The sequence below is a fragment of the Homo sapiens genome, chromosome 13 (genome assembly GCF_000001405.40).
Source record: "Homo sapiens chromosome 13, GRCh38.p14 Primary Assembly".
NCBI lineage: Eukaryota > Metazoa > Chordata > Mammalia > Primates > Hominidae > Homo > Homo sapiens.
In genome coordinates, this window is record NC_000013.11 from 97,616,129 (window position 1) to 97,630,300 (window position 14,172).

General features: G+C 41.6%; 1 long non-coding RNA gene across 2 annotated transcripts in view, besides 1 other annotated feature; it reads right to left on the minus strand.

Moving 5' to 3' along the window:
* Positions 1-14,172, minus strand: part of LOC105370324 (uncharacterized) — a 179,291-nt gene that overhangs the window by 84,375 nt on the left and 80,744 nt on the right. The gene's annotated exons all lie outside the window — the stretch shown is intronic.
* Positions 5,753-6,252: an enhancer, noted in NCBI's record as "H3K4me1 hESC enhancer chr13:98274135-98274634 (GRCh37/hg19 assembly coordinates)". NCBI's record gives its function as "activates a minimal SCP1, AML or CMV promoter by ChIP-STARR-seq in primed H9 embryonic stem cells {active_cell/tissue: H9 hESC(primed)}" and the evidence as "EXISTENCE:reporter gene assay evidence [ECO:0000049][PMID:30033119]".

The window sequence follows — 14,172 nt, forward strand, 5'->3', positions numbered from 1 at the left end:
GAACTGGGTGCCAGTTCCCAAATATCCCAAAGCTTTAATTTTGCCACTGCACATTACCTCTCCCTCTTTTGAATAGTCGTTCAATTATTTGATTGATTTTGAACAGTGGATTTCAGTAAGCAATACTCTATCACTTACCTATCTATCAAGCTATCTATTTACCTACCTACCAACTCATTTTTGTCTTCTGCTTGTATGTACCTTATCTGTTTATCTTCTTGAAGTCAGAAACCATGTCTTGCTCTGTGGCATTTCTGACAGGGGCCTGACATGGGGTCTTAGAAGCAGATCTGACATTCTAATGATCATCTTGATCACACAAAAGACAGATCTAAAAAGTTATCAAAGAAAGAAGAGCAAAATGCTTTCTAGTTCTTACTCTCTTTTCATTCCTTTTCTAGTCTACCACCTGTGATTGACACCTTAAAGATTTGAAGAAATTAATTGGAAAATGCTGATTCAGAGAAATATTTGTAATAAAAAGTTGTCCATCCTTCACACTGACAAAACCAGAAGAATGATGCTTGTCTCTGTCTGTTCAGTTCTCTCACACCCTTCCTTGCATCAGACTTTGATCTAAGTCACAATACAAAAGACCTATTTCACCTCTAACATTTCCCCTTTCTCATGTTAATTAGATTACAGGTATAGCTGTGGCAATCAAAGTCAAATTAAATAAGATAGAAGTTTATTTCTCTCTCACAAAAGAGTCTAAGTATAAACGACGCAGGGTTGCTGTATTAGCTCCAGGTGCTGGAGATCCATGCTCTCTCTTGTTAATTTGCCATCTTCAACATCGGTTACTAACTCAAAGTCAAAGATAGCTGTTCCAACTCCTGCCATCACATTTACATTCCAACCAGCATGAAGGGGAAAAAATTGGCAGATGATATGCATCCATGTGCCCATTAAATTTGGGAGGTTCTCTTAGTAAAATAAGAGTAGAGAAACAAATATTTAAGAAGCAACTAATATCTTACTACATATATGCATGGAATTCATTTAGATTTTGGTGACTACCACTTATTTATGTGTGCCTTTGGTCATGCTTTCTTTCTCCATCTCTCATAGAATAGGGGATTGGAGTTTCACCTTGTCCAGCACTTGAAGCACTCATAAATATAAAGGGAAAGAGAGAAATGTAAGTAACAAATGGCAATGCAGCATGGTAAATGTTAGTGTAGACAGGAAGAAACAACTGATTTGGCCTGATAGCTGGTACTGCCATGATCAGTAAGACGCCACAGAGGAGAGACAACTGCACTGACAGCAAAGCATAGTCATAGCAAAAGGAGCAGCCCATACTAAACCCATGAAGGCATGAAGACACATGACATGATTCACGAACTATAAGAGGTGCCCCTGAAGCTGCAGGGAGAACTTAAGGAGGTGGATAGCAAGAGGTGAAGCTGGAAATGAGGCTTCAGACCATGAAAGGCCATAGGACACACTAAGAAGTTGGGACTTTATCTTTCGTAAGGAAGCAAGAGCAGATTTTCAAGGGTATAGAAGGATATCTGGTAGAAAGTGAGCTTTACTCAACTTCAAACTATACTGGCTACAGTAACCATAACAGCATGGTATGGTACTGGTACAAAAACAGACACATAGACCAATGGAACAGAATAGAGAACCCAGAAATAGGATTGCACCTCTACAACTATATGATTTTCAACAGACCTCACAAAAATAAGCAATGGGGAAAGGATTCCCTATTCAATAAATGGTGCTGGGATAACTGGCTAGCCATATGCAGAAGATTAAAACTGGACATCTACCTCTTACTATATACCAAAATTAACTCAAGACGGATTAAAGACTTACACGTAAAACCAAAAACTATAAAAACCCTGGAAGACAACCTAGGCAATACCATTCAGAACATAGGCAAGGGTAAAGATTTCATGATGAAGATGCCAAAAGCAATTGCAACAAAAGCAAAAATTGACAAATGGGATCTAATTAAATTAAAGAGCTTCTGTACAGCAAAAGAAACTGGTCAACAGAGTAAACAGACAACCTGCAGAATGAGAGAAAATTTTTGCAAACTATGTATCCAACAAAGGTCTAATATCCAGCAGCTATAAGGAACTTAAACACATTTACAAGAAAAAAAAAACCCCATAAAAAAAGTGGGCAAAGGACGCACACAGACACTTTTCAAAAGAAGACATACATGTGGCCAACAATCATGAAAAAAAGCTCAACATTACTAATCATTAGAGAAATGCAAATCAAAATCACAATGAGCTACCATCTAACACCAGTCAGAATGGCCATTATTAAAAAGTCAAAAAATAACAGATGCTGGCGAGGTTGTGGAGAAAAAGGAATTCCTATATACTGTTGGTGGGAGTGTAAATTAGTTCAACCATTGTGGAAGACAGTGTGATGATTCCTCAAAGACCTTAAGACAAGAAATACCATTCGACCCAGCAATCCCATTACTAGGTATATGCCCAAAGGAATAAAAATTATTCTATTATAAAGACACATGCAGGCATATGTTCACTGCACCACTACTTACAATAGCAAAGACATTGAATCAACCTAAATGCCCATCAATGATAGACTGGATAAAGAAAACATGGTACATATACCCCACAGAATACTATGCAGCCATAAAAAAGAACAAGACCATGTCCTTTGCAGGGACATGGATGGAGCTAGAAATCATTATTTTTAGTAAACTAAGACAGGAACAGAAAACCAAATACCACATGTACTCACTTGTAAGTTGGAGCGAAATGATGAGAACACATGGACATATAGAGGGGAACAACACACTTTGGGTCCTATCAGAGAGTGGAGGGTCGGAGGAGGCAGGGGATCAGCAAAAATAACTAATGGGCATTAGACTTAATACCTGGGTAATGACATCATCTGTACAACAAACCCCTATGACACAAGTTTATGTAACAAACCTGCACATGTACCCCTGAACTTAAAAGTTAAAAAATAAAGTGAGCTTTACCTTAACTCAGAACACACAATGCATTATAACTGGGGAGACTGGATACAGAGAAACAGTGTATGAAGATATTTATTAATTTTTGTCCCCCAAACTGTGAACCCTCTTGCTACAGTTGGGGACTCCCATACCTTATGAATTGAAACCCAACTTCCATCAGAAAAGCTGAAAAATGCCAGATACTTTCTCAATCTCCTTTGCTATATGATTGACTCTCAGTCAATCTGATTCACCTGCCCCAGACTTTGACTTGAAAGATAGTTAACAGATAGTGTGACCAACTGTCCCAGTTTGCCTGGAACTGTCCTATTTTAAAACTGAAAGGTTTACAAAGTCCTGCATCCCAGGAAACTCCTCAGTTTGGACTGAGGTCAAACTGGGATGGTTGGTCACCCTAGCAGGAAGCACACAGAAAATATAGTAAGAACTTTAAGAGATACACAAGTTACAAAGCCACTGTAAATGCTGAGGTGAGAAAACACAAGAGTGATCACTGGGACAGCTGTGGGGTGGCAGAGGAAACAGCTTCAACCAATAAAAGGAACAATCAGCTGAACATGATGTTGTGATAATATGGAGAGAGGCTGATGGAAGAAAGGCATGAACCAGGGAAGACTAAGTTTCTGGTTTGAATGTCTGAATGAAAAGGCACCATTAATAAAGACAGTGAAATGGTAAGTTCCATCTTGGACATGCCAAACTGAGGGGTCTATGAACAATATCTACGGGAAATTTTTCACAGGCATTTATCAGTGTTGCTCTGGAGCTCAGAAGATTGATGGAGAAAAATATAGAACATCTAGCGCAGTCCCTGGTACACAGTCTATGAATTTTTGTTAAATATTGTTGAGTATTGAGTTCCCCTCATCAGCACAGACAAAACATGCAGTTCTTTGCACACAATAGACTCTCAAGAAACTTGTGGTAAGTGATTGAGTGATTCATTCCTTAGCTCAGCACACCGGAGGTATCTAGCCTCCAAATACCTTTTTCACTCACTAGTTCATTTGTCAATCGTGAAACACAGAAGTGTTTTCAGAAGAAAAAATGTTCTTCCATTAGTGGGGTCCCACTTTAAATTCTGACCTTTAGGACACTGTGTCTATTTCATGAGTCAAGTAAATATGCGTGACTTCAAGATCTTCAAGATGAATTCTAGTTCAAATCAAAATTCTTATTTTTTACTCTTCAGAAACATTACTTCCCCTAGAGACAGAAGGATTATATTCCAAGCAGATTGGTTGAAATGACAACATTATTATTTTTAAAAGTAAGCCAAGGGTGGACAAAATCAGAATAAAGAAAGCTAGGATGCCTTTTTTAAATTATTATTTTCAATCATGGCTAGTTTGGAGAAATTGCTTAGCGGAGAATAAAAGAATATAATTGGGAATGGAAAACATTTTCTTTTATTTAATCCCATTTTTATAAGTAAATACCAGTAGAGGGAAAAAACTAGTCATGCATTGGTATGGGTGAAGAGTTAATAAAATAAGCGGAGATTTTTTTGAAAGTAGTAAATTTAATAGCTGATATTTATTGTATACCCAGGACAGTGGCACTGTGTTAAACACACAAAAACTGAAACTTGTAAGTTTTAAAATGTGTTATTTACTGAATGTTATAAAATATCCGTAAATGGGTACATGCAGCAATCAAGGGCAGTCAAGATTAAAGCAAAAAAAAGCAGGGAGATGGAAATGAGCAGATAAAGTTTTTAGTCCCGTCCTTCACAACTTGACTCTGTCACGTCCTTCTGGACCTACATGATTGTAGTAATAGACTCCAAAAATAAGCCCAGAGGACTAGAAGTATAAGGGGTCAGACAAATGCCATGTTTCTCTCCTTTCGAAAAAATAGTACTTGTAGTTGGTAATTGTATTCGTTCATTCTCACACTGCTATAAAGAACGGCCTGAGACTGGGTAAATTTATGAAGGAAAGAGGTTTAATTGACTCACAGTTCTGCATTGCTGGGGAAGCCTCGGGAAACTTACCATCAGGGTGGAAGGCAAAGAAGAAACACGCGCCTTCTTCACAGGGCGGCAGGACCCAGTGAGCGAGGGCCAGCAGGAGAAAAGCCAGACGCTTATAAAACCATCAGATCTCGTGAGACGCACTCACTATCACGAGAACAGCACGGGGGAACCGCGCGCATGATCCAATCACCTCCACCTGGTCCCGCCCTTGACATGTGGAGATTATTGGGATTATAATTCAAGATGAGATTTTGGGCGGGGACACAGCTAAACCATATCAGTAATTTAGAAAATGAGCCACCCCAAAATCCCCAAAGGGTGAAAGAGAATGGATATGTCTTCTTTCCCTGTGAGGCTTTCCCCCAAAAAGCAGTCCTAGCAATATCCAAACTTACAGTCCTAGGAAGTTTTACCCTGTCTTTTGAAATAAAGAAAATAACTGAAAGCAAAAGACAAAGGGTGAAGAAAAGACTGGGTACAAAGTTTTCTCCCCTCCTGTCTCTGAGAGCAGCAGGGCTTCCCCCTAGCGAATGCTGACGCAGAGGTGGATTGAGAAAAGGGCAGAAGCCCTGGCCTCATCTTCATGCTGAGGAGGAGTTGCAGGTACCTGAGGGCCCTATGAAGGCACAAACTGGACGATGGTAGAGCAGTTGACTGGCAAAGAGGGCCCCTGGGTGGTGCGATGCAGGCCAGTCCTCTGGCCTGGGAAGCCTCATTAGCATCTCCTAACGCCTGCGCTGAGCGCTGCGCCCGTGTAGCCTGGGGCCTGCCCTGGGGATCAGTCCCAGGCAAAGCCTAACAGCTGTCCCGGAGACTTGAGGGCTGTGTGGCCTTTGCACTCAGTGGGACACTTCAGCTTGGGAGGAAAACAATACTGATGGGTCAGCAGCGGTGAGAAAGAATAGAGGAGGGTGGGGGAAAGGAAGAAAAAACTATGGTAGAAGACGAGGAAAAGGAGCACAGAAGAGCACTGTGCGCAGGACCCAGGTGAGAAGAGCGAGAGCGGCTGCCGTGGGCTCAGAGGAGAGGCGAAAGTGGAATGGAGGGGAGACAGGATTCCGTGGGTCTGTTCCTCTGTCTTGAGCCTTCGCATCATGCTCTCAAAGCTCTTACTCCACATTTTTATTCACAAAAGCCAATGTGAAAATATTGAAATGTGGCAGAATTAGACCTCAGGACTTTTTTCTTAATACTTGCTCCTTTTTTTCTCTGTAGACCACAAGAATCTTACAAACAAAGGTAAATAAAAAACTAGGAGGCTGCAATGAACCCCAAAACGGCCCCTGAGCATTGCCGGTTTAATACTCCGGAGAGCCGATGGCTGCACCACTCATAGAATGGCACGCAGGGAGAGCTAGCTAGTCCCAGCTCAAGTGAGGACTACCACCCTTCACTAGCAGAAGCTACTAACTCTCTCTCCCTGCACGCAGCAGAACGCATGACCGTTCTGTCCTACTGAACTGAGCCACAAAAATCTCATTGGGCTCAGAAGCTGCTGATTACATCGAGACTACAGTGATGCAAATGTTATTGCTATTTTCAGCACCGTGCTAATGAATTATATTTAACTACATTAAAAAACAATGATTTGGAAAGGCTACAATTATGAAATTTAAAATATAAATTGTACCCAAAGGATATTAAACGTGGGCTTTACATTTTTTTCTCTTGCATTCAGAGCCTAACAAATACCCTTTTATCCTCTGAAAAAAATGGGCAAACAGACTGATCAAATAGCTCACTCCAAGCAATTAAAACTTTCCATTACCATACAGAAAGATGTATGAATTGATCCAAAACACTTGTCCCTAATAAGGATATATTAACATCTGCCAACTGGAGTTCAGGAGTTAAATGAGATAGCAGTGGAGGGATTAGGAAGTAATGAAAGAAATGTTTTTCCAATAAGGCAGAAAAAGCCTTATTCATCCTGGAAAAGAAAGTCATGAATACATAACTGTGTGTGTGTGTGTGTGTGTGAGTGTGTACACTTATATAGGTGTGTATGTCTCTGTGTGTGTGAGTACACTTAACTATATATTACATGTATTCATGTATGTTGGTATATACTTACATATATGTATGAATGTATTTGTCTTTGTCCATTTGTGTTGCTATAAGGAATACCTGAGGCTAGGTAATTAGAAAGAAAGGTTTTTGTGTGTCTCGCGGTTCTGCAGGCTGTACAAGAAGCATGGATCCAGCATCTGCTTCTGGTGAGGCCTCAGGAAGCTTCCAATCATGGCAGAAGGTGGAGCAGAGCCAGCATCACATGGCAAGAGAGAAAAAAAGAGAGAGAAGAGGAGCTGCCAGGCTTTTTTCAACAAGCAGTTATTGCGGGAACTAACAGTGAGAACTCTGTCACTTCCAGGAGAAGGGCACCAAGCCATTCATGAGGGTCCACTCCCATGATCCAAACATCTCCCACCTCACCCCGCCTCCAACACTGGGGATCAAATTTCAACATAAGACTTGGTGGGGCCAAGCAAACCTTCTCCAAACCATAGCAGCATTCATCGAAATTCCCATCACACCTCCACAAGGGCAGATTCACCATCAGGGTGATTGCCTTAGTCAGCTCAGGCTGCTGTCACAAAATACCATGGCCTGGGGGGCTTAAACAATAGAAATTTATTTCCCACAGTTCTGGGGGCTGAAAGGTCCAAGATCAAGGTGTCTGGTAGGGCTCTCTTCCTGGCTTGCAGGTAGCTGCCTTCTCCCTGTGTGTCCACATGGCCTTTCCTCTGAGTTCACTGGAGGAAAAAGAGACAGAAAGGTAGAGATAGAAAGAAAAAGAGAGAGAGAGAGAGATCTTCCTCTTCTTATAAAGCCACCAGCCTGATTGGATCAGGGTACTACCCTTATGACCTCATTTAACCTTAATTACTTCCTAAACCACCTATTTTTAAATATAGTCACATTGCCAGTTAGGGCTTTAACAAATGAACTTGAGGGTTTATTTGTATATACCCAGAATGAAGACCATGCAGGCCAGCCTCTTTCTTGCACCCTTCTAAATTTCTGACTTGTATTTGTCATAGTAGCTTTGGGTTTCTCTTAAATAGGGATCTTTCCATATCTCAGGTTGCCAAGTTTTTAAGGTGGTTCCAGATGTATATAAGAAACAGAACATGTGTTAGGGCTACGTTATCATCTACAATATTCAATGTATGCGAGGATATTGAGTGGGGCTTCTCCTGTTACCCTAAAGTTGTTATTAAGGTTCAAAACTGAGAACAAAATAAACTAGCTGCCCCGCATGCTAGATAAGTTGGCAGCAGTCCGCTTCCAGGCCGGAGGGGAAGCACCAAAATGCAGACCAAGTCCCTTTCCTTCCACCTCTCACCCTAGGCAGCTACAAGAGAGGGCAGGGAGGCGAGAGGGTGGGTGCCCCTCCAGGTACCTTCTTCCTGGAGGAAAATGGGAATATTTCCTCCCCCTGGAACCAAGGGACATACATTTCACCAGTTGGACACTATAATGGGTAATTTTGTGTGTCAACTTGGCTAGGCTATGGTGACCAGTTGTTTGGTCAAGCACCAGTCTAGATGTTGCTGAGAGGGTACTTTTTAGATGTGATGAGCATTTAAATCAGACTTTGAGTAAAGCAGATTACCCTTCCAATTATCTGAAGGCCTTAAGAGGTAGATAGAGGTCCCCAGAGTGGAAAGAATTCCACCTCCAGTCTGCCTTGGGACTTAAGGCAGGTTTCAGATTTTCCAGCTCCCACAATCATGTGAGCCAATTCCTTAAAATAAATGCCTCTCCATAGATAGGTAGGTAGATAGGTAGACTGATGAATAGGTTTATAGATACTATACACATACATACATATACACACATACATAAGCACATAGACATCTTATTCCTGTTGGTTCTGGTTCTGTTTATCTGGATGAACGCTGGCTAATGCACGTATCTATTTACCCAGCACAAGTCCTGGTCTGACACCTGAGCAGGGAAAAGGGGAGTTAGAGCTAGATGGAGTGGTGGATTTGGGGGATATGGAGAGAGCAGTTATAGGGGTGCCTCCTGCACTGCAACCTTTGGTGTGGCAGGAGAGTGTGGGTTTCCTTGGGGTGGAGCAGGCACTCTGGAAGACAGCTGGGCTTCCAGTATCTTACTGAGCCCCACACCTGTGCCTCCGGAGAGAACCAGCACTCAGAAGCCTTCCAGAGCTGGGCGGCCACAGTGACCAGCCAAGAAGACAACCGCTCCACTTCCATTAAACAGAACAACTAGCCCTTTCCCTCCTCCTTCTTGCCATGTACCCTGAAAGAGCTGAAGGGAAGTTGTGGGGACCAGCACGATGTACCTCCTCCTCTCACCCATCCACCAGTGCTGCTTCCCAGCAGCGGTGCTCAACCTTGGCCGCACATTAGAATCACTGAGAGGTCAGAAAGAAATACTCCCACTCAAACCCCACCCCAGAATCACTCAGCCTAAGAGAGAACTAGAAGCTCCCAGTTGGAGCCAGGGCTGAGATGAGAACTCTCTTGTTAGTGCTGCAGACAGGACAGCTTCTGCTAAGACAAAGGGAGAAAAGCAGCTTTGAGGTTGGACATCTTAGAGTGAACAAGACTGTGTCTTCAAGTGTAGAATTAGACTGTCCTAGTAACAGTGAATAGAAAGTTATGGAATCTGTGGATTTTCAAGTGTATAGAAACTTATGGAATCTGGCTAAGATGACACCACAGGACTCATTACCCGAAAGAATAGTATCCTTGGGCTGAAGTTAATGGTGAAAATTCAACTGAGCAAGGAGGTTTCGTGTGCATATTCTAGTGAGTTGAGGTGCCTCTGTGAACAGGCTCCAAATGAATCATTTCATGAACTGAGCCAGGCCTCAGGCTGTGCCATTTTTTTCTACAAATGATCTTCTAGAAATCAGATAATCTGATAGTTTGCTCCCTAATAGAGAAGGAGGATTATAAATGCAAAGTTATATGAGTGTTATTCAAGCCAGAAATTGACATTTTCTCCAAAGCCTGTACCCCTAGCACTGCTCTTCTCTAGACAGGCAACTGCTGGGGCCCAGGAATTAAAGCAGGATGTCAGCTCACCCTCCACTCCTCCATCTCCTGCCCCTGCTCCTCACAGCTCCACACCTGCCATGAGAGGATGTTCACCAAATGCCTGTGGGTTCTTCCCACTGCTCACCTGCAGATGCAAAGCTTGGGGTGGGCTCTTCTGCATTTTGCTTTTTTTTCTGCTGAAAATTTCTCCTTCAGATGCAGAGATAAGGAAAAATCTTAAGGGATGGAGAAGGATGGGAACAGCATGGCTTTGCATTGCCTTCTCTAACTTTATCCTTCCTATTTATTTTCTACACATTTTTCCCCTTCCCCAATTTCCTTGTGATTTTTCTTGGCCTTACTGTAATGACAGTGAGTACAGTGATGGACGTGAGAGGAAGGCAGTAAGCTCAACCTTACTTACCAAAATAAATGAGTAATCCGATTGCCCGCCACCAAAAGGCCCCCAAGCACAAGTTTGGTGAGACTATGTCGTGTGTGTATGGTGTGTGTTGTGTGTGTGTAAGGTGTGTGTGGTGCGTGTATGTGTGGTATGTGTGTATGTGTGTGTGTGCACATCCCATGTGCATGTTTTATACTGCATCTTCATGGGAAAAAAGAGCCCTTTAGGACTGAAACTGTATGTGAATCTATATTTGAAGTGGGATAATATTTTTAATATTACATAAATTATGGTGTGATCACTTATATGTAAATAGAGCATTGTTACTTTTGAAATAATATGATGATACAAAGCAAACATTCATATTGGGTAACACTTTATTACTTATCATTTGTAACAATGTGCTGTAACTATAAAGTGCTTCAAACACACTATTAGACTTTGTTTTCACACCCACAAAAAATCCTTTGAGGTAAGAGATAATCTTTCCTTTTTACAAATAAGAAACTGAGACCAAAGAGAGGAGTTACTTGCTATGAAGAGAAGATGCCATAGCAAAGAGAGGACCCAAGAGAAAACCTGTTGATTCCATGAACCAGGACTTTTCCCCGTGCCTTCCAACAAAGTAAGTACTAAGCAAGTATTAGAAGTGTATCTTCAGAAGCATTGCAGAGAAGGCAGCTGCAGGAAAATCAAAGACAAGTTTAGCTAATGCCTTTTCGCATTAGTGTTAGGTCCTCATCCACCTGGAGCAAATCATAATCTCAAGGATATATTCCAGGTGAGAGTCATAGAACTTGTCTCTACCTAGAAATCTAAGAAATAATTTCATCATCCCTGTGACCTCTAGATAAAGCCACACATATGTGCATTGTAGTATAAATGTGCAATCCGCTTTTCTAAAGACCATCAGAAGAGACCCCCTAACTTCTTTCATTGATCAATTCCGATATTTAACATCACTCACTACTGAGCAATTTTTACATCAAAACCTATTTCTTCACCTACTCAATGTGCACTAAAAAGAAGTTGGTCACCATCTTTCTTTATAATTACTTTTCACAGATTTTTAAGGCAGCTACAAAATTTCTCTTCATTCATAAATCATCTTAGCTCTTTTAGTTTTGCTTTTAAGCCTTCACATTTCCAAGCTCTGATTAACTTTGATGGCTCTGTGCCCTGAGTCTCCTCCAAGCGTTTCAGATTACTGCAAAAGCCACAGAAGCCAGAGCAGAAGACGGAAAGATTCAGGCTCCATATGCGCCAGTGGGGAGGGAGCCCGCTGCTGAGGGAGAGCCTATCAGGTTTCCTCCTCTACCCAGAGCCTCTCACTGCTGAGTCATGATGCTCCCAGATACTCTCCAAATGTCACCTACAGCCAGGTCAAGGTCCTTTCTTCCCAGTATTCTCATCAAATTACAGTCTCAAAGTGCCTACTGTAAGAAATGTTGATGGTTAAGACTTGATAAAACCTTATGATTTTAGTGCAAATAAATATAACATTTATGATTCTAATGAGAGTGGTCACATAATAAATGTTCAAAATATGAACAAATGGATGAATAAATTAACAAATAGGCTCATTTAACTTTATGAAAATAACTTATTTGCACCCTTATTTTTGGTGTTTAGTGTTTGTGATGAGCAAATGAATGGACAAATGCATATTCAGGAATAAATTGTTATAGGATAGTTTTTAAAATAGAATGTATTCAGGGCTGTCCTGCAAATATAAAATAAATTTGTCTAAAAAGACTGAGATCATGTCCTTTGCAGGGATATGGATGGAGCTAGAGGTCATTATCCTTAATAAACTAAAACAGGAACAGAAAACCAAATACTACATGTTCCCACTTATAAGTGGGAGCTAAATGATGAGCATATATGGACACATAGAGAGGAACAACACACACTGGGACTTATCAGAAGGTGGAGGGTGGGAGGAGGGAGAGGATCAGGAAAAATAACTAATGAGTATTAGGCTTAATACCCGGGTGATGAAATAATCTTTATAACAAACCCCCATGGCAAAAGTTTACCTATGTAACAAACCTGCACATGTACCCCGACCTTAAAACTTAAAAAATAATAAAAACAAATGTGTCAAAGATTTTATTTAATTCATTAATTAATGAGGAAACCAGTAAGATGCTAAAACTGGTTCAGAGGAGAATTCCAGGGCTGACACATCTATAGACAGAAAATGATGCTTAAATGAATTCACAAATAAGATGTAAAACTGGTTTGTTTAGGAGAGGGGAGGAAAGAAAATCAATTGCATGTATGATATCATGATGAATAAGTGGGGTCTTGTACTCAAGATGCTCACAAAGAATTATGAAACCATTATAATTCAAGATCATGGACACGTGCCATGTGAAGGGAGAATTGGGAAAGGGAGATGTTCTGTTTGCTTGGAAGAAGATGGGAGGATTCATGAAGGAAGTTTTCAGTGATATGTGTCTTGGAGGATTCCAGCTTTCAAAGACACTGTGAGGATATTGTGAGTAAATGCCTGGCTCCATCTGGAAGAATCTAGTGTATGAAGTCAAGGGGTAGGAGACAAACCTTGAAAGGAAAGTCAGGTATGATCATGGAGAACCTTGAGGACCATGCGGAAGGCAGAAAGGAGCTACTGAAGGTTCCTGAGCAGGAGAGTACAACAGGCAAGCAACAGAATAATGACCTCCCCCCACCCGAATGACAAATAAGTTGATAAAGAAGACAATTGACTCCAGGGAGAAGATTAGGCGTTAACTGCAATAGTCCAGGGAAAAGCAATAATACAGACCTAGACAGGGACTACAGTATGGAAAAGGGGAAGAAAGAGACCCAGATGTGTGCTGTCTTCTCACCATTCTCATCATTCTGGCCTTCTAACACCACACCAACAAAACACTGAGATTTCTGCAATTTTATCTCTCCACTGGAGGCTTTCAAACACCAGCAAAGCTATGTTCTTTATGACTCCTCTGTGTCCACACCAACCCTTCAGCTACTTGCTGTCTGACCTCCCTGTCCACAGAGCAAGGTTTCCATGTCCCTGTGCTCCCTCTGAGATCTGATGCCCCCCTGCTTCTCAGCCAATGCTTTTAAATGACATTGAACTACCTGCTAAAGTGCATCCATAAAGTGTTCCTATTTGACCTATGGAGACATCACAGACATTCCAGGTCTGCAGAATGTTCTCCTGTGCTGTTAATGCATGACTAACTACTTTAATCACAAAAATAAGCTCTCCGTCAGTGGTATTTTGCAGGTACAGGTGCAGAGATTTCGGCAGTGGCAGAGTGCACTCAGGCACCATGGCAACCAGTGCGTCAGCCTGGGTACACTTAGCAGCAGCGGAATAGTCAGCTTTCCATTCATTTGAGCTGACAACAAAAACTAGAGATGTTTTGTCCTGCCTTTCCCTCTCAAAGTCGGCTGTCTGGTGAAGAAGGAAATGTTTGGCAGGTCCCAGAGCAGCAGGGATACTGGCCTTTATACCCAGGCAAAGTTAGGATGGAAATTGCAGCCCAAATTGGCTCAAATGCTTTTCTAGTGTATCTGCAGAGGCTGCCATCTGCGGGAGTTCCAGGCAGGGCTGGCTAGGTGTGTGTGCTGCCTGCTGGTGTGTCACTTAATGTTGCTTTAACTTGATTTAAAATCACTTGCCAGAGACTGTCCTTCATCTCTGCCCTGCCACATTTTATGGGCTTATGAAATAATATGCATTTTGTGGTTACTACTGTAGCCCTTGTGTAAGAAATGCCTAAGGTACCAAGATTTTCTTATTTTCAGGGTTGTTCTGGAGGAGATTAAA